The 19,895-nt window shown below is 49.1% G+C and overlaps 4 annotated features.

The window, feature by feature from the left end:
• Positions 1,705–2,451: an enhancer, noted in NCBI's record as "NANOG-H3K27ac hESC enhancer chr16:86775893-86776639 (GRCh37/hg19 assembly coordinates)". NCBI's record gives its function as "activates a minimal SCP1, AML or CMV promoter by ChIP-STARR-seq in naive H9 embryonic stem cells {active_cell/tissue: H9 hESC(naive)}" and the evidence as "EXISTENCE:reporter gene assay evidence [ECO:0000049][PMID:30033119]".
• Positions 6,727–7,270: an enhancer, noted in NCBI's record as "OCT4-NANOG-H3K27ac-H3K4me1 hESC enhancer chr16:86780915-86781458 (GRCh37/hg19 assembly coordinates)". NCBI's record gives its function as "activates a minimal SCP1, AML or CMV promoter by ChIP-STARR-seq in naive and primed H9 embryonic stem cells {active_cell/tissue: H9 hESC(naive and primed)}" and the evidence as "EXISTENCE:reporter gene assay evidence [ECO:0000049][PMID:30033119]".
• Positions 8,369–8,870: an enhancer, noted in NCBI's record as "H3K4me1 hESC enhancer chr16:86782557-86783058 (GRCh37/hg19 assembly coordinates)". NCBI's record gives its function as "activates a minimal SCP1, AML or CMV promoter by ChIP-STARR-seq in primed H9 embryonic stem cells {active_cell/tissue: H9 hESC(primed)}" and the evidence as "EXISTENCE:reporter gene assay evidence [ECO:0000049][PMID:30033119]".
• Positions 10,521–10,815: a silencer, noted in NCBI's record as "tiled region #6377; HepG2 Repressive non-DNase unmatched - State 22:ReprW, and K562 Repressive non-DNase unmatched - State 22:ReprW". NCBI's record gives its function as "represses a minimal TATA promoter and a strong SV40 promoter by Sharpr-MPRA in HepG2 and K562 cells {active_cell/tissue: HepG2 | K562}" and the evidence as "EXISTENCE:reporter gene assay evidence [ECO:0000049][PMID:27701403]".

The raw sequence follows: 19,895 nt of genomic DNA on the forward strand, positions 1-19,895 counted from the left end.
CGGGCTGTTACTTCTACTATTGCCTTTTACCAGTTAAAAGCATCCTCCCATGCAAAGGCTTGAGAAGGATACAGTGGACTCTGGGGACTCGGTGGGGAAGGGTGGGAAGAGGGTGAGGGATAAATGACTACGAATTAGGTGCAGTGGATACTGCTCGGGTGATGGGTGCGCCAAAATCTCACAAATCACCACCAAAGAACTTACGTAATCAAACCCCACCTGTTCCCCAAAAACCAATGGAAATGAATTTTAAAAACAAAAACAAAAAGCATCTCCTCAACATTGTGTTCGAAGAGAGGCAGCTGCCAGGACCTCGCTGTTCCTCACCCTCGGAAGCCGTGCCTCTTCTCTGGGCCCTTGGTCTGGCATCCCCGGCCAGTGCAGCCCCTTCAACCGTGGGGTAGGTGGCGGGCGGAGGGGCCAGCCTGGCTGCCTGGCATCCCCATGGTTCCTGTAATAAATAACAAGCCTAACTGACAAATTTGCTGTTTTCTTATACGACTGCCACGCACACTACAAAGTGTGAGGCAAACCGCAAGTCATCGGCATCACAGCAAAACAAAAACACACACACAACAGAAGAAACCACGCTGGTGAGGTCAGCAGGGTAAGTTCTGCCTTGTAGGGTTTGCTGGGAAAAAAAAAAAAAAAAAACGTGGAGAAGGAGACGTGGGGGCGGGGAGGGCTGAGGTCAGAGCCAATATTGAAAGAAATCTATTTGTGGCTGTGGGAGGGATGGGGACGGCGGCAGGAATTTAAAGAGGCAGAAGTTCATTTCCTGTGATTTATGGGACTTTGCTGACTTTCACGCTCCGGTTCTAGGGACAGGGAGACCCTCCCTGCGGGAGCCGCTGCTAGAGGGAAAGGCAGCGTTGGATCGGATGCCGGCCCCAGCCTGGGAGACGTGCTTCCTCTGCAGCCTGTGATCAGGAGCGAAGTGTAGAGACCAGAATCGTTCAGAGGCAGGGCTGGTCCCTGTTGATTTATGACTCAGGCAAACAGTCCATTCATCCGTCAGCGGCTCCACTTCTATCCTCAGCTTACTGGAGGCAGAAGAATGTCCCCTGGAAGTGGTCTGAGCTGCTTCCTGTGGTGGCCCCATTCCTCCGGGTGGGGGATCCTATTTTTAGAGGGCCACCATTGCCATGAAGGTCCAGCCGGCTCATCGGCACCGTGCGGCATGGTGGGACGCAGTACTGAAATTCGAGGGGGAGCTAGGCATTCATAGCTGTTTCTTACAAACAAGAAAGGCACTGATTCTGAGGCTCCATTTCCTCCTCTGTAGGTGGAAGATAGAGGAGGCTATACAGGGAGGCTCAGCTGTGCCTGACACACAACAGAGATTCTCCAGGAACAGGACATGAATGAATACAAAATCAAATAGGTGATTTCCCTCTTCCTCCAGCAGACAAACCCAGAATAGCAAAGATCACTTCCATGCGCGTCCGTGTGAGGAGACCACACAACAGGCTTTGTGTGAGCAATAAAGCTGTTTATTTCACCTGGGTGCAGGTGGGCTGAGTCCGAAAAGAGTCAGCGAAGGGAGATAAGGGTGGGGCCGTTTTATAGGATTTGGGTAGGTAAAGGAAAATTACAAAGGGGGTTTGTTCTCTGGCGGGCAGGAGTCGGGGTCGCAAGATGCTCAGTGGGGGTGCTTTTGGAGCAAGGATGAGCCAGGAAAAGGACTTTCCCAAGGTAATGTCATCAGTTAAGGCAAGGACCGGCCATTTACACTTCTTTTGTGGTGGAATGTCATCAGTTAAGGTGGGGCAGGGCATATTCACTTCTTTTGTGATTCTTTAGTTACTTCAGGCCATCTGGGCGTATATATACGTGCAGGTCACAGGGGATGCGATGGCTTGGCTTGGGCTCAGAGGCCTGACATTCCTGCCTTCTTAATAAGACAAATAAAACAAAATAGTGTTGAAGTGTTGGGGCGGTGAAAATTTTTGGGGGGTGGTATGGAGAGAGAACGGGCGATGTTTCTCAGGGCTGCTTCAAGCAGGATTAGGGGCGGCGTGGGAACCTAGAGTGGGAGAGATTAAGCTGAAGGGAGGTCTTGTGGTAAGGGGTGATACTGTGGGGATGTTAGAAGAAACATTTGTCGTATAGAATGATTGGTGATGGCCTGGATACGGTTTTGGATGAATTGAGAAACTAAATGGAATAAGAGAAGGAGAAAAACAGGTATAAAAGGTCTAAGAATTGGGATGTCTCAGGACATCTGATTAGAGAGCGCCTAAGGAGATTCAGCATAGTCCTGCCAGCAAAGATTATTTATTTACTTCAAGAGTTAAGAGTGGCAGTTTGGGGATAGCACCAGGAGATATCAGCTGTGATGGCTTGAAGAAACAGTGTAAACCGGCAGTGTAAACAAGAGCAGGGCATGTATGAGTAGTTGAGAACGGTGAATAGGAGTATGGCTAGACAGAAGATAGTAGGGATGACAAGTTTTTTTGGGGCACAGTCTAAGTTGGTCTGGTGTCTGGAATGAGACTGGGGCCTAATAAAAAGGAGCGTCTATACAGGAGCTTAAATGGGCGGTACCCTGTAGCATTCCGAGGACAGGCCTGAATTCTGAGAAGGGAAAGTGGTAAAAGTATTGTCCAGTCCTTTTTAAGTTGGTGGCTGAGCTTGGTGAGGTGTGTTTTTAAAAGACCTTTAGTCCATTCTACTTTTCTTGAAGACGGAGGACCGTAAGGGATATAAAGGTTTCACTGAATACTAAGAGCCTGAAAAACTGCTTGGCTGATTTGACTAATAAAGGCTCATCTGTTGTCAGACTGTATTGAGGTGGGAAGGCTAAACTGAGGAATTATGTCTGACAGAATGGAAGAAATGACTGCGATGGCCTTCTCAGACCCTGTAGGAAAGGCCTCTACCTATCCAGTGAAAGCATCTCCCTAGACTAAGAGGTATTTTAGTTATCTGACTCAGGGCATGTTGAGTAAAGCTAATTTGCCAGTCCTGGGTGGGGCAAATCCTCGAGCTTGATGTGTAGGGAAGGGAGGGGGCCTGAATAATCCCTGAGGAGTAATAGAATAGCAGATGGAACACTGAGAAGTTATTTTCTTGAGGATAGATTTCCACGATGGAAAAGAAATGAGAGGTTCTAAGAGGCTGGCTAGTGGCTTGTACTATAGCATAACCTGCCTTTGCTGGTGTGTGGCGATTAGGCCTGGTGGAACCGCCATCAGTAAATCAAGCGTGATCAGGGTGAGGAACAGGAAGGAAGGAAATTTGGGGAAATGGGGTGAATGTCAGGTGGATCAGAGAGATACAGTCATGGGGGTCAGGTGTGGTATCAGGAATAATGTGGGAGGCCGGATTGAAGTCTGGGCCAGGAACAACGGTAATTGTGGGAGACTCAACAAAGAGTGAGTACAGCTGAAGGAGCCGGGGAGCAGAAAGTATACGTGTCAGGTATGAGGAAAAGAATAGATTTTGGAAGTTATGAGAACTGTAGAGAGTGAGTTGAGCATAGTTTGTGATTTTGAGGGCCTCTAAAAGTATTAAAGCAGCGGCAGCCGCTGCACGCAGACATGAGGGCTAGGCTAAAACAGTAAGGTCAAGTTGTTCGGACAGAAAGGCTACAGGGTGTGGTCCTGGCTCTTGTGTAAGAATTCTGACTGTGCTAACCATGCCTAGGAAGGAAAGGAGTTTGTTGTTTTGTAGAAGGTGCTTGGGTTTGAGAGATCAGTCGGACACGATTGGCAGGGAGAGCACGTGTGTTTTTATGAGAATTATGCCGAGATAGGTAACAGTTGAGGAAGACATTTGGGCTCGATTGAAGTAATGGGGGCTGTCCGTGAAGCTTTGCGGCAGTACAGCCTAGGTAATTTGCTGAGCTTGATGGGTGTCAGGGTCAGTCCAAGTGAAAGCGAAGAGAGGCTGGGATGAAGGGTGCAAAGGAATAGTAAAGAAAGCATGTTTGAGATCCAGAACAGAATAATGGGTTGTAGAGGCAGGTATTGAGGATAGGAGAGTATATGGGTTTGGCCCCACGGGGTGGAGAGGCAAAACAATTTGGTTGATAAGGCGCAGATCCTGAACTAATCTGTAAGACTTGTCCGGTTTTTGGACAGGTAAAATGGGGGAATTGTATGGAGCGTTTATAGGTTTTAGAAGGCCATGCTGTAGCAGGCGAGTGAGAACAGGCTTTAATCCTTTCAAAGCATGCTGTGGGATGGGATATTGGCATTGAGCGGGGTAAAGGTGATTAGGTTTTAATGAGATGGTAAGGGGTGCATGATTGGTCACCAAGGAGGGAGTAGAGGTATCTTATACTTGTGGGTTAAGGTGGGGGGATACAAGAGGACACAAAGGAGGCTTTGGGTTGGGGAGAAGGGCAGCAGTGAGATGCAGCTGTAGTCCAGGAATAGACAGGTAAGCAGATAATTTAGTTAAAGTGTCTCAGCCTAATAAGGGAACTGGGCAGGTGGGGATAACTAAAAAGGAGTGCTTAAAAGAGTATTGTCTAAGTTGGCACCAGAGTGGGGGAGTTTTAAGAGGTTTAGAAGCCTGGCCGTCAATACCCACAACAGTTATGGAGGCAAGGGAAACAGGCCCTTGAAAAGAAGGTAATGTGGAGTGGGTAGCCTCCACATCGATTAAGAAGGGGACGGACTTACCTTCCCCTGTGAGAGTTACCTAAAGCTCGGCGTCCGTGATGGTCTACGGGGCTTCCGAGGCGATCGGGCAGCGTCAGTCTTCAGCCGCTAAGCCGAGAAGGAGTCAGTCAGAGAGCCTTGGGCCAGCGTTCCAGGGGCTCTGCGAGTGGCTGCCAGGTGAGTTGAACAGTCCAATTTCCAGTGGGGTCCCGCACAGATGGGACACGGCTTAGGAGGAATCCTGGGCTGCAGGCAGTCCTTGGCCTCGTGGTCAGATTTCTGGCACTTGTAGCAAGGTCCTTGGGGAGGAGGTTCTGGAGGAACGTCTGGCCACTGCGGTTCAGGCGTTTGGAAGTTCTTGTGTGCTGGAGATGTGGCTGGGGTTTGTCTCACAGTGGAGGCAAGGAATTGCAACTTTTTTCTATTATTGTAAACCTTGAAGGCGAGGTTAATTAAATCCTGTTGTGGGGTTTGAGGGCCGGAATTTAATTTTTGGACTTTTATTTAATGTCGGGAGCAGATTGGGTAATAAAATGTATATTGAGGATAAGACGGCCTCTTGACCTTTTAGGGTCTAGGGCTGTAAAGTGTCTCAGGGTTGCTGCCGAACGAGCCATGAACTGGGCTGGGTTTTTATATTTGATGAAAAAGAGCCTGAACGCTATCTGATTTGGGATAAAGAAAAAGGAGCATTAACCTCGACTATGCCTTTGGCTCCAGCCACCTTTTTAAGAGTAAATTGCTGGGCAGGTGGGGAAGAGATGGTCGCGGAACTAAACCGTAAGCCGGACCGGGTGTGAGGAGGGGAGGTGATAGAAGGATTATAGGGTGGAGGAGTGGAGGCTGAGGAAGAATTGGGACTTAGCTCGGCCTGGTGACGAGCAGCCTGGGGAGGAGGGGAAAGGTCAGATGGGTCTGTAGAAAAGGAAGACTGGGAAGACTCAGCAATGCTTGGGGTTGGGACTGAGGGGACAGGCGGGAGGGAAAGGAGGAGGATCTGGGACGAGTTGCGCTGGGCACACAGTCTAGGAAGGGACTGATGTGTAAAAGAATGCCTGGATGTCAGGCACCTCAGACCATTTGCCCATTTTACAACAAGAATTATTTAGATCTCGTAGGATGGAAAAATGGAAAATGCCATTTTCCGGCTATTTGGAACTACTGTCGAGTTTGTATTGGGGTCAAGTGGCATTGCAGAAGAAAATAAGGCATTTAGGTTTTAGGTCAGGTGTGGGTTGAAGAGGTTTTAAGTTTTTGAGAACACAGGCTAAGGGAGAAGAAGGAGGAATGGAAGGTGGAAGCTTACCCATAGTGAAGGAGGCAAGCCCAGAGAAAAGAGAAGAGACACGGAGAAGGGGTAGGGGTTTCTTGCCTTCCAGAAAAGCAGAGAAAGGGTTGGGGCATGGAAATAAGGAATTGGGGCACAGAGATAAGAGGTTGGGGTGCGGAAATAAGCCATTGGGGGGTTCTTGCCCCTTAGGAAAGTGGGACTTGCCGCTAAGGGTGAAGGAGAAGGGGTTGAGGGGTACTTGCCCCTGCCCCAGGAAAGCGGGACTTGTCGCTGAGGGTGAAGGACCAAGGCAGGTGTCCCTGCATGGTCTGACACCCTTGAAATGTGTGTGTATAATCAGAGAGGCGTCCCTGCAGTGATTAAACACCAAGGGAAGGCTGCCTTCCCAGTCCGTGACCTGCGCCGGAGTTTGGGTCCATGGCTAAAACGTGTCCCTTTTGTCTCTACCAGAAAATGAAAGGAATTGAAATTAAGAGAAGGGAGAGATTGAAGTGTGGCGCCAAAATTGAAAGGAGAAAGAGGTTGAGGGATAGTGAGGGAAGTTGGAGAAGAGAGTAAAAAGAGGCCGCTTACCGGATTTGAAATTGGTGAGATGTTTCTTGGGCTGGTCGGTCTGAGGACCCGATGTCGTAGGTGGATCTTTCTCACGGAGCAAAGAGCAGGAGGACGAGGGATTGATCTCCCAAGGGAGGTCCCCCGATCCGAGTCACGGCACCAAATTTCATGCGCGTCCGTGTGAAGAGACCACCAAACAGGCTTTGTGTGAGCAATAAAGCTGTTTATTTCACCTGGGAGCAGGTGGGCTGAGTCTGAAAAGAGAGTCAGAGAAGGGAGATAAGGGTGGGGCCGTTTTATAGGATTTGGGTAGGTAAAGGAAAATTACAGTCAAAGGGGGTTTGTTCTCTGGCGGGCAGGAGTGGGGGTCGCAAGGTGCTCAGTGGGGGAGCTTTTTGAGCCAGGATGAGCCAGGAAAAGGACTTTCACAAGGTAATGTCATCAGTTAAGGCAAGGACCGACCATTTATACTTCTTTTGTGGTGGAATGTCATCAGTTAAGGTGGGGCAGGGCCTATTCACTTCTTTTGTGATTCTTCAGTTACTTCAGGCCATCTGGGCGTATATGTGCAAGTCACAGGGGATGCGATGGCTTGGCTTGGGCTCAGAGGCCTGACAATCACCCCATGAACTAATGCAACCATATCAGGCAGATTGCACCCCCCTTTCTGTCTTTTGTTCTCCCCCAGGCGCACTTGCCAGCTTCCTCTTTCTACGTCCTCCTGGGCATACCCAGCCTTCATCATGAAGTTGTGTCTATTTTCCACTCACACGCTTCCCAGGAAGAGTCCTGGACAGCGTATCAGGATCTCTCATTTTCTTGCTTGAACTCACTGCAGGCTCATCTTGTGGCGAGGCTCACCACCCACCATGCCAGGTCTTGTCAGTGCCCTGGGGCAGCGTGGATGGGCTGCCCATGCTTTCAGCTAACAGACAGCAGCAAAGGCCATCGCCTCCTTCTGACGGAATCAGAAGGTGGAACCAGGCCAGTGTAGGGTGGGACCAGAACTGATGTCTGGACACACGACCCGTAGACTGTCCCTGCCATTGGAGAGCTGGGGACCGCGCCACAGGAGGCTGCGTGGTTATCGCCTGTGAGCCACGAAGACCTTCATTTCCTCATCTGTGTTTACTTTGTGTCTCCTCTGAATGTGATCCTATGTTCTGGGTGGTGGTTGTTTCCCGAAATGGCTGCATTTCAAATATGCTGTTCTTTTCCCATCAATAGTTTCTTGCCAGCTGGGTGCAGTGGCTCACGCCTGTAATCCCAGCACTTTGGGAGGCCGAGGCAGGTGGATCATGAGGTCAAGAGCTCGAGACCAGCCTGGCCAACATGGTGAAACCCCGTTTCTACTAAAAATACAAAAATCAGCCAGGCGTGGTGGCCCGTGCCTGTAGTCCCAGCTACTCGGGAGGCTGAGGCACGAGACTCACTTGAACCCAGGAGGCGGAGGTTGCAGTGAGCCAAGATTGTGCCACTGCACTCCAGCCTGGGTGACAGAATGAGAATCTGTCTGAAAGAAAGAAAGAAAGAGAAAAAGAAAGAAAAAAAATTTCTTGCCTTGGTTTGAGTTGCCAGGAGCAAATTCTAGATCAAGGATTCACATATTTGGGAGGTGATCCCTGGCCACACCTGTAGAAGGGTGGGAGGGGAGGCAGGGAAGGGAAGGGCCCATTGAGGGCGTGTGATCCCACCCAGCATCACTCAGGGCATTTGGACCTGAATCCCGCTGGGGGGCCCTGGATTACAGTGTATACCCCTGCCCCAGTTACCCCAGCTCCCTTCAGTCAGTGGCCGAGAGATGTTCAGGGACAGCTGTGGCTGGGACCTGATGATCCACCAGCCCTGGGGCAAGGCACAGTCAGGCACATTGATTCCAGGCTTTGGTAACTGGGGGATGTTGGTGCTAGAAGCAGAAGAACATAGGCAAGCAGGCATTCCTGCATAGGAATATCACTGGGCTAGAGCAGACCTTTCTCATCTGTAAGAAAAAAGCTATTAATGCCTACCTCCCCACCCCCAGCTAATGTCAATGCTCTACAAGCTTCTAGCCTGTCGTATAACTTACAACTCTTGCTTTATGGTTATGCAAAGACCATAAACTATTTAAACCTCGCTAACACCATTGTGTCATCCCAGTCATGGATAGGCTGGCTATGCCTAGGAGGATGTAGAAAGAGAGGGGCTGGAGGGGCAGGGGAGCTGCTGAGGGGCCTTGCTAGCCACGGTAAGTGCCACCGTGTGATGTTGGCTCCTGGACTCTGAAAGCCAGGGGGAAACACTTGCCTGCACTTTATCCTATAGGTGGGAGGTAGCCTCCAAGGGCTTTGTTCAAGGCATGGAGTGCTAAGAACTGGGCTTTGGGCCAGCAGAAGGCCGTGAATGAGGTTCCCATCACCTGTGCCCTACCTGGCCTTGGCTGTCCACTGGTCCATCGCCTCCTGGGGCTGTCCCCACAGAACCCTGCCAGCATCCCTGGCAAGCGTGTGTTTGGCGTGGACTCGTGGCCAGGTGTGCTCGTGTACACATGCGTGAGCAGTGATGCGTATCAGAGCCCCCTGAGATGCATATTTTCTTAGAGGTCAGATACAGAGATGTGGACTCACAGAGCTCAACGGGGAGCAGGGAAGGGACTGAACATGAGTTATATTAGCCAAGCCCAACCCCCACTTTATTTTTCCATGCCTGAAAATAATCATACCTTTTTAGTCGTGTGAAGCCTAGTACTCCAGGAAAAAGGCACGGAGATTTAAGAAGCCCTGAATACGGTTTTGGCCAAGCACTACCTCCTAGATTCCCCTGCAACATTCTGAGACTTGGAGAGAAGAGGGGGAGAAGACCCCAGCTGTCATTCTCTGTATTGTCCATTTCTTCTCCCTTGTTCCACATTCATTCCCTAACATCCCTCTGCAAGTTGCTTTTCGTTTAAACACCGCACGTAAAAGCACAGTGTCTGGTTTTGGTGGCACAGGTCATCTATTGCAAAAGGATGTCTAAGAGGTATAACTACAGTGTGCTTTCGGGGACTTCCCAAGGAGGGATAACTAGGGTGTGCTTTGGGGGACTTCCCAAGGGGGCCTGAAACAAAGGAACAGATACAAAGCCTGTGGGACCTGTGCAGCCCTAAGCTGGAAGATTTCCAGCCAAGTAACAGCAGTTAGGGGAGAAAGATCTTTAATATATTCCAATCAGACCAAGTCAAAGTGAGCTCAAAGTCACTTCTTGATAAACGTCTGAAAAGACAAAAGTCTGTCTTTAGTCCTGTATCTTCCTCTGTTTAAACTTTTCTTTTTATTTATTTATTTATTTATTTATTTATTTATTTATTTATTTATTTTTTAGATGGAGTCTTGCTTTGTCACCCAGGCATAAGATACGCAGTGGCATAATCTCAGCTCACAGCAACCTCTACCTCCCGGGTTCAAGCAATTCTCCTGCCTCAGCCTCCTGAGTAGCTGGGACTACAGGTGTGCACCACCACACCCAGCTAATTTTTGTTTTGTTTTGTTTTGTTTTGTTTTGTTGTATTTTTAGTAGAGACAGGGTTTCGCCATGTTGGCCAGGCTGGTTTCAAACTGCTGACCTCAAGTGATCTGCCCACCTCAGCCTCCCAAAGTGCTGAGATTACAGGCGTGAGCCACTGTGCTGTGCCTGGCCTTCTCCTTTATTTTAAAGCAACTCCTTTCCCCTACATCCTTGGCCCTCCCCACCATCCACCCATCTGTGATCTTGTGGACCCTCAGCTCCTCTGCCCTACCAAAACTTATTCAAAGGAAAAAGCAGGAAAAAGAAAAAAAGATGTCAGTCATTTACATGTTAGTATAAATAAGCTGTGGAAGGATTCCTTTTCTGGGCTGAGCTTGGCCTTTTGGTGCCAGTTGCTTCAGGGCTTGACCCAGCAGGTGAGCTGTAGCTGAGCCCGTCTATAGCTGTGGTGGCTCCTGCCTGGGGTAGATGTAGACACTTTTCCAGTTGCAAACTCATCAAAGATGTTTGTGCACACATGTGTGCATGCACATTGGGTCCGCGCATGTGTGCCTGAAACACTGCCCGGGTTGCCCTCCAGAAAGGAAACAAGTGTGCATTCACACATTGGAACAAGCCAGCCATGTCTCTCCGTAGCAAGAGAGGAAGCGGGGACTCCAGCATTTTTTTTAAATGGTAGTGGGCACTGACTCAAAGACGCCTGTTAAGAAAAACTCCATGTTCCTCTCTCTGCTGACTCATTTGGTAAGAATTACAAACCCAGATGCCAACATGTGGCCAACCACATGAGCCTGCACTGAGGAATAAAAGACAGGATCATTTGAGTTCTATGTGAACAAACAACAGAGATTCAGTTACATTTTCTCTCCATCTTTTTTTTTTTTCAATGTCAGGAATTTCAGCAGTTCCACATTAGGCATTCTGTGGGACCCCCTTGTGTCAGCAGCTCCAGATTGGAGGGAAGAGGCCACACACTGGCACCTCTTGTGTTATTTCTTAAGGAAGGGAGAGAGTCTTGCTATGTAATGGGGACAGGAAATCTAAAACCCTCAATTATCTGATTTTCCAGCTGAGTCCTCGAAGTAACAACATGGCCAAGGTTGGGAGGAGACTGGCCTGGGAGTCAGAAACCCTGGCTCTCGCCTCACCCTCCACTGCTGCCTTGCACCCTCATTTTCTTATCAGCAAGTGGGAGAGTTGGTGTGGCTCAGGGGAGGCAGTTCCAGGGCACACACCCCCAGCAGAGCCCTCCCCCGGCACCCTCTGTTGGCGGCCACGCATTCCCCCACTGACCTCAGCATCTTCCTCAACCCAGCTCTCTCTGAGCGATTAAGGATTCAGCAGAAACCTCTCTATTCTGTGTGGTGGTCACTGGTGCTGTTTGCCAACCATTTCCTGCCACGCCCATCCATCAGTCCCCATTGGGGCTGGGTGGGCACCTGACTAATTCAGCCAATGAAGGATGAGCCAGTGAAGAATGGGCTAGGGCGTTTAATTGCTGAATGGCGGCCTCCAAACCCCCTTTTGGGGGTCAGGGGAGCAACTGAAGTGGCCAAGACGGCCACCACTGCATGGGCCATGTCCTTGGGGGCTTCTGTGAATAGCAGCCCCTGCCTTCTGTGACGGGCCTGCAGCGTGAACAGGGAATGGCCTTTTCTCTCTTTAAACATAAACCTGGAGGTCAAGGTTGTTTGTGACCTGGGCGAGGCGCAACCTCTCCTCGATGATCCATCCCCTACAGCCCCATGCTCTGCAGCGTTTCAGGTCTGGGTCTGGTCACTGGACCATTCTGCCCGACTCCAAGCATCCCTCGGAGTTCATCACATCCTCACACCCAACCGGAGAGTTCATTGAAGGGACTCCCACGGAGTCAGCTCTCAGATCTGTGAACTGATCCTTTAGGCTCAAGTTTTTCAAGCATCGAGAGGCACCAAAGCCAGTGTTGGAAGCCGGAGCCCACAACTTCCAGGGCAGAACGCAGCGTGTTCAGGGGCCTCAAGTCACTCACGGATCTTAGCAAATAGCAGCTCTGTGTCCAGCTCTGTCTGCATAACACTTTCCATTTTGAAAAGCCATTTCTCCTCCCATTTTTCCTTAAGGCTCCTAACCCTGGGGTGTCCAGGGCTGTCCGAGCCTGTGTCTTTATTCCTAAACCTTTCCTCTAGACCAGCAGGAACCACGAAGCCTCTTCTGGCACTAAGCGATGTCTAAGGAGAGGGAAGCAGCGCTGCGTGGGCTGCCGGCTGATGCAATCCGACTCACCCAGAGGCTCCTCTCCTGCAGGACCCGAGCATCACTCAGCACCAACAGCGTGCACAGAGACAGGCGCTCCTTCCCTCGAGGGCCTCACAGACCGGGGATGGCAGAGTGGGCAGCAGAGAGGAGCCACCTGAGTGAGGCTTGGAGAGGAATCTGTCAGCCTCGAGGGCCCCAGCGAGAAGGCTGGCTTCCCGCAGCGAAGCTTTGGAAGAGAACCGGCGTCCCATGACGGTTCGTCCCTTTGGGGTCTGGCGGCCGGCCTCCGCAGCTGGGCTTTCTGTGTGCGCACTGGACACCTTGAAAAACCATCTGTAAGACGGGCAGCATAATCCACTCCTCATCACCTTGTGGAGGAGGGATGGAGACCCAGCTTGCTGAGGGCCTGAGCCTGGGGCCTGATGCCTTCTGAAAAACCCATCACACGGTAGCTGGTGTTCCCGTATCTCCAACAGGAAAGGGGCAGCTCGAAAATCTAATGCACCCCCCACACACATTTTATCCCTGCCACGCCTGGCCATAAGCCAACATGAGGACTTACTTTGGACATAGGAGGAGGCTTTTAGAAGCCTGACAAGTCTTTTTCTTCCCCCGCTTCAACTTTTATTTTAAGTTCCAGGCTACATGTGCAGGATGTGCAGGTTTGTTACATAGGTAAACGTGCGCCATGGTGGTTTGCTGCTCCTGTCAACCCATCACCTAGGTATTAAGCCCCTCATGCATTAGCTATTTATCCTGATGCTCTCGCTCCCCTCACACTCCTGAAACAGGCCGCGGTGTGTGTTGTTTCCCATCATGTGTCCACGTGTTCTCGTCGTTCAGCTCCCACTTATCAGTGACAACAGGCGATGTTTGGGTTTTCTGTTCCTGCGTTAGTCTGCTGAGGATAACGCCTTCCAGCACCATCCATGTCCCTGCAAAGAGGCTGACAAGTCTTAAAGGTGCGGCAGCTCCATCTAGCAAGCTTCCCGGCCCACGAGATGTTTGCCACGTGCACAGAGCCCTTCTGTTGAACATGCTCAGAGATGTTGAGGAGAAGAAACATTGAGGATGCTCTACTCTTGTTTATGGCCATTTACAACATTTCCATTTAAAAATTAGTTTTCCAAATTTTGTTCTGTAATGATGAAATCGTTCGCTGTACAGCGGGGACCTGGCACTGCACCCTGTTCCCTGGAGCTTTAGTGCGCACCCACGGGCACACATGTATCAGAACGCGCGCTGTGCAGAGTGAAGTCAGCTTGATTAGGTGGCACGGCCAACACCTCTCTACCCGCCTCATGGAGTTCGCAAGCCATTTTAACAGTGGAACGGGATTCCTGGCCATTTTTGTTCCCTCCTTTGCAATGTGCTGTTTTAGTTTTTTCTAAATTCTGTATGTGGGACACACATTACCTTTGTAATCCCATTTTGTGGTTAAAACAATAATGCTTCTTCAACTCTGTTTTCTTTTTTCCGAGACGGAGTCTCGCTCTGTTGCCCAGGCTGGGGTGCGGTGGTGCGATCTCTGCTCACTGCAACCTCTGCCTCCTGGGTTCACGCCATTCTCCTGCCTCAGCCTCCCAAGTAGCTGGGACTACAGGCGCCCGCCACGCCACCATGCCCGACTAATTTTTTATATCGTTTTTCTAGTAGAGATGGGGTTTCACCGTGTTAGCCAGGATGGTGTCGATCTCCTGACCTCATGATCCGCCTGCCTCGGCCTCCCATTGTGCTGGGATTACAGGCGTGAGCCACCACACCCGTCCTACATCTTCAACTCTTTTTAGGAACTTTTACATGCATTATCTCATTGCATTTCCACCACTCCCGTGAGGCACTTGGAGTTAGTGCCATCTTACAGATGGGGACATGGGCTCAGAGAGGTGCCGTGACTTGCCCAGGGGTGCACAGCTCACAAGAGGCTGAGCTAGAATTTGGAATTGTTTTTCATCCAGGACAGCTCTTTCTGTGGAACCGCAGCTGCCTCCTTTGACAGATTAAAGGTTCTTGGGGAAATATCACTGTTAGGATGACAGGTTTTCAGCCTTAGTTGGAAGAACCATTTTCTTGAGCAGGCAAGAGGTAGAATTCACTCTCCTTGAGAGAGGACCCTGAAAACAACTGAACCCTTTCTCCCTCTCCTTTCATGCTCAGCTTCAAAACAAATATATTTTGACTGTGTTTAGATTAAAAGAAAGTAGAGAGAGAGACATTTACTAGTGGTCGGTATTGTGTACACTCTGTAACTACAAAATCATTTCTATTTATTTGGAAAGGTCTAACCTCGTATTCTCTCAAACAACCCGTGTGATGGCCACAAAAAGGAAAACTCAGCAACAGTAGTGATCGTTGAAAATGGAGAACTTAGAGGACATGGAACTGAGTGTGGGGTTTGTTTTGTTTTTTTGACACGTGAGGGACTCAGATCATGGAAACTGCTGCTTTTCTAACTTCATGGTGCGAAAACACTTCTGTTCCAAGAACACCTGATACATAAAAAATACTGAGGATCCTCAAACTGTCCCTTCTGCGGGTCATAGCCATCAATATGTATCGTATTAGAAAATGAAACAAAGTAATTTTTAACGTATTCCACGTCTTGATTCACTTTAAAGTAATCATAAGCCCATTTCACATTAACACGAAAAATATATTTTTATAAGAAATAAGTATCTTACAAAACCAAAAAATGTGGTGAGGAGAGTGGCCCTGGTCCACATTTCTGCCTCTGTCTTTATTTGGTATCTGGCTTAGCAGAGTGTGGCTGGGTCCTTGCCCTCCACCGCTCTTTATCACAGCCAGTTTCCCGGAACTCACTGCCGCTCACCAACAGAGGAAGAAACCGAGGCCCAGAGGGTGGAAACCCGGGCCTGAAGTCACGCAGCTGTGAGCAGCCGAGGCCGGGCCTGGATCCAGCTCCATCTGACTCCAAACCCAGTGTTCTTCACCACTGCGCAGGGTCCTCCCCCAGGTGGATGGAGGCAGCAGTAAGGAATTGGATTGCAGCCTCTTTTTAAAAAATCTCCACCTGGCTTGGTGCCATGGCTCACGCCTGTAATCTCAGCACTTCGGAGGCCGAGGCTGGTGGATCGCCTGAGGTCAGGAGTTTGAGGCCAGCCTGGCCAACATGGTGAAACCCCGTCTCTACCAAAAATACAAAAACTTAGCCGGATGTGATGTAATCCCACCAGTGCATGCCTGTAATCCCAGCTACTCCAGAGGCTGAGACAGGGGAATTCCTTGAATCTGGGAGGCGGAGGTTGCAGTGAGCCAAGATCGCACCACTGCACTCCAGCCTGGGCAACAAGAGCGAAAAAAAAAAATCTCCACCTGAATGCTACTTTGAAGCTGCTCGAAGACCCCAGAGTATCCATCCCATGCCTATTGGCTGGGCTGAACCATGTATGTGCCCTGTCTCACTGTCAAGTTTTAGTTACCAATTCTTTTGTTTGTTTTTTATTATATTAAATCTACTACTGTTATTATTATTTTGAGACAGAGTCTCACTCTGTTGCCCAGGCTGGAGTGCAGTGGCGCAATCTCGGCTCACTGCAACCTCCACCTCCTGGGTTCAAGCGATTCTCATGCCTCAGTCTCTTGAGTAGCTGGGATTACAGGTACATGCCACCACGCCCAGCTAATTTTTTGTGTGTTTTTTGGCAGAGATGGAGTTTCACCGTATTGGCCAGGCTGGTCTTGAACTCCTGACCTCAACTGATCTACCCTCCTCGGCCTCTATTATTATTTTTTTTTTTTTGAGTCTCATTCGGTCACCCAGGCTAGAGTGTGGTGGTGTAATCACAGCTCACTGCAACCTCAACCTCCTGGGCTCAAGCAATCCTCCCGCCTCAGTCTCCAGGGTAGCTGGGACCACAGGCACATGGCACCGTGCCCAGCTAATTTCAAAATGTTTTTGTAGAGACAGGTTCCTTACTATGTTGCCCATGCTGGTCTCAAACTCCTGGGCTCAAGCAATCCTTCCACCTCAGCCTCCCAAGGTGCTGGGATTACAGGTGTGAACCGCCACACCCAGCCTCATTTTTATTTGATTCCATGAGCTTTCAGCAATTGTGGAGTACTTTCTGTGGCTGGGCACTCCTCTGAGCTTCTCATAAACTTGCACTCTGTTCACCCTCATGGTAACCCTATAGTGGAGGTACAGTTTTCATTCCCATTTTATATATGAGGAAACAGACTCAAGGTGCTGAGACAAAGCCGAGATTTGGAGCCGGGCACTCCAGCTCCAGCTAAAGGATTTCTTGTTCTGGTCTAGGAGGTCACCTGGAGGCAGCGAAGGGCCAGCCTCTGCCCGGAATGCTTGGAACAACTTCCCATTTCAGCATCAGCTTACTAGAGAGTGTGTGAGTTGTTGAGATAATGAGAGCTGAGAAAGTGCCTGCAAAGCACCTAACACAGGAAAATGAGCTCTCATTAACATCTGCTTTAGGATCCACGATGCTCCCCCTTCTCTCTCCTTCCTGTCTCTGTGGAGCCCCCGCCGCTCACTGTCCTTCCCTCTCACCCTGAGGACGGTCTGGCCAGCAGCATGAAATCCCCACACAGCCTCCATGGGCCAGGGATGTGGAAAGTGGCAAAAAGGCCTTGCCTTGGTGAATGGGGGTTTTCAACCTTATCTCAGATTCTCTTGAATTTGGCTGGTGGGTTTGCGTCTGCGGGTGTTTCTGAAAGGGTTTTTTGTGGTCAGAGTGTGGAAGAAAAATGAGAACCAGGAAGGAAACAGGCTTGACTTTGTGAAGCAGCATTCCAGGTTTCAAAGGAAATTGAGGGTGAGTCTGGGGTAAGGGCCTGGCTATGGATTTGAAGCAGGTTCCAGGACTGTGGGCAGAGCTTGGAAGGAACCTGCCGCCACCGCACCCTCCTGACCCTGCTGTGCTGTGTCTGCTTTCCTGCACTGACCTGACACACAGACTTCTGTTATTATTGCCCCAGGAAAGCAACTCTGGTTAACCCTTGTCTTAATATCTCCAAAAAGTAGCAGGATAGGATCCACTGTTAGGTAGCAACTTGCTCAAGCTGTGTGACCCTGGGCAAGTTACTTACCCTCTCTGGGCCTCAGTTCCCATATCTGTAATATTAGGTTGGGCAAAAGTAATTGTGGTTTTCACCATTAAAAGTGATGTCAGCCGGACACAGTGGCTCACGCCTGTAATCCCAACACTTTGACAGGCCGAGGCAGGTGGATCACCTGAGGACTGGAGTTCAATACCAGCCTGGCCAACATGGGAAACCCCATCTCTACTAAAAACACAAAAATTAACCAGGCGTGGTGGCATGCACCTGTAATCCCAGCTACTTGGGAGGCTGAGACAGGCTAATCGTTTGAACCCGGGAGACAGAGATTGCAGTAAGCCGAGATTGTGCCACTACACTCCAGCCTGGGCAACAAGAGAGAAACTGTTTCTCAAAAAAAAAAAAAAAAGTAATGGCAAAACCATAATGACTTTTGCACCAACCTATGGTATTGTCAACCTAATGTAAGGATAACACTAATACATTTTTTTTTTTTTTTTTTGAGATGGAATCTTGCTCTGCCGCCCAGGCTGGAGTGCAGTGGCTCTCGGCTCACTGCAAGCTTCGCCTCCTGGGTTCACACCATTCTCCTGCCTCAGCCTCCCTAGTAGATGGGACTACAGGCGCCCTGCACCATGCCCGGCTAATATTTTTTGTATTTTTAGTACAGACGGGGTTTCACCATGTTAGCTAGGATGGTCTCGATTTCCTGACCTCGTGATGTGCCTGCCTCGGCGTCCCACACTAATACATATCTCTGGAGATATGTTGTGAGAATAAAGGAAGGCTGAGGTTGTACATGCTTCCATGCCCCTTACTTGGGTGTGGAGGCAGCTATTAGGACTATCGTCCTCAGTTTTCTGGTTCCCATATTCATAGATCTAGATCTCTTCCACGTCTCTCCTTAACTCTTACTCACAGTGGCCGCCGGCAAACTGCAATGTCCTCCGTTTATTGACATTTCTCATCTGGAATTAAGATGTAATAAGTGATCTGTGTGGACCAACAGAGAAAAATCTTTTCCTTCCAAGAAGTGGGAACTTACTCTGCAGTACCAGGCAGTATAATTTGGATTAATAGAATGATTGAATGGATGGAGCAAAGGAAAAACCAAGCCGGATATCAAGAAGTTTTGCCCCGGTAACAGCTATTAGGGGATTTGGTGACAGGTCCATGTGTTGAATCAGATGAAACTAGGCTGGAAAAAATACTGGCAATTTGTAATTTCACAGGGGAGTGCCGGGCAGCGGGAGGCATCACGCTCCTATCCCGACAGAGAAGGGAGCCGGGAAGTAGGCGTGAAGGAAGGCAGCCTGCACATGTGCTTGTTGTTACAACTGCTATTGATTATTGCAACTAAGCTGGGTCACTTTATCCTGGTAAATCTCAGGATAATGCAATTATAGAAGATAATCTGGAATCGGGCACTGTAAAAAAAAAATTCATTCATTTAAAAGAGAAGCTTAAAAATAACCTGAAAGGCACAAGATCTTATTTTCACATCAGCTAAGGTTTCATTTTCCAGCATATGGCCCTCCCCACCCCCAACTCTCTTTTCCCAGACAAATTAAGTGCTTCATGTAGGTGCAAAATGCAAAGTGTGCTAAATCGTGCCTCCGTTTAAGTCTTGCACATGGGCCCACTTTAGTCTTCAATTAATTTTTTATTTTTCATGAATCGTTGTTTTCGAGTGTTCCAGAAATTTTGTGTTTCTGGAATTTTCTTTTACCCTTCCATTTTAGAGCTTTCCAATAAGATAAGAAAGTTAGAGTCTGTTTGGGGAATATCAAGGGATGATGTCAATTAAAAAGAAAAAACAGAAAAGCAGAGAATAAAAACCCTGTGTTACCACATCCCCAGGGTCCTAATCCATGTAAATGGCCTCCTCATTCCTTTCTTGTTTTGGACACTGTTTGAGAAAATCCCTTAACAGTGCATTCTGCTGCTTGCAGTACTTTTTTGTGGCTCAGGATTAACTGTTTTAGTGCAAAAGGACGGGAGATGGGCCACCTCCTTGGGGCTCTGCTACACACCCAGCTATCGCAGTGGCTGAAACCCAGCCCCACGGGTCAGAAGAGCTACGGAAAAACAGCATAGAACTCAAAGACTTAGGCTGATGGGCTCATTACAACAAATGGAGATTCTTGTTCACCAGGTTAAGTGCCGTGTAGCCAAAGGGAAACTGAGTCAAGGAATGTTAATTACTTCTGGTACTGTCGCGTTTAGCCATGGATTAACCCTTATCAGCAAGTGGCTTCTTAAGTCTAATTCTCCCCCGAGAGGAGGCTCAGCATGTGCCCCTTCGCTGAAGTCACCCCTCTCTTCTCAGGATTGCCCGAGTAGGAAAAATCCCCTCGTAATCCTCCCATCTCATTTTAGTTAATTTCCACCTCCTGCACAAACCCGTTTCGTCAAAGCTACCAATACGAGACTTAAAAAGCCGGGCTTCGCTTCATCCTCCTGCCCTTGCCCAGATTTTTGCAGAGATAAGAAAGACCACCAAAGGGCCACCCTGCAGTCTACACAGTTGTGGGGAAGGGGACAGAGCTTTCCTAGTAAAATGGATATTTTCTCACTTTTTCTTCCAGGCTACATAGAAATACCATTCTATCCCCATCACGGTGCCTTTGACACATGCATTGTGTATTGGCAATAAATGCCAACGGCATTTTGTTTTTGTTTTT

This window comes from Homo sapiens, chromosome 16 (genome assembly GCF_000001405.40).
Source record: "Homo sapiens chromosome 16, GRCh38.p14 Primary Assembly".
NCBI lineage: Eukaryota > Metazoa > Chordata > Mammalia > Primates > Hominidae > Homo > Homo sapiens.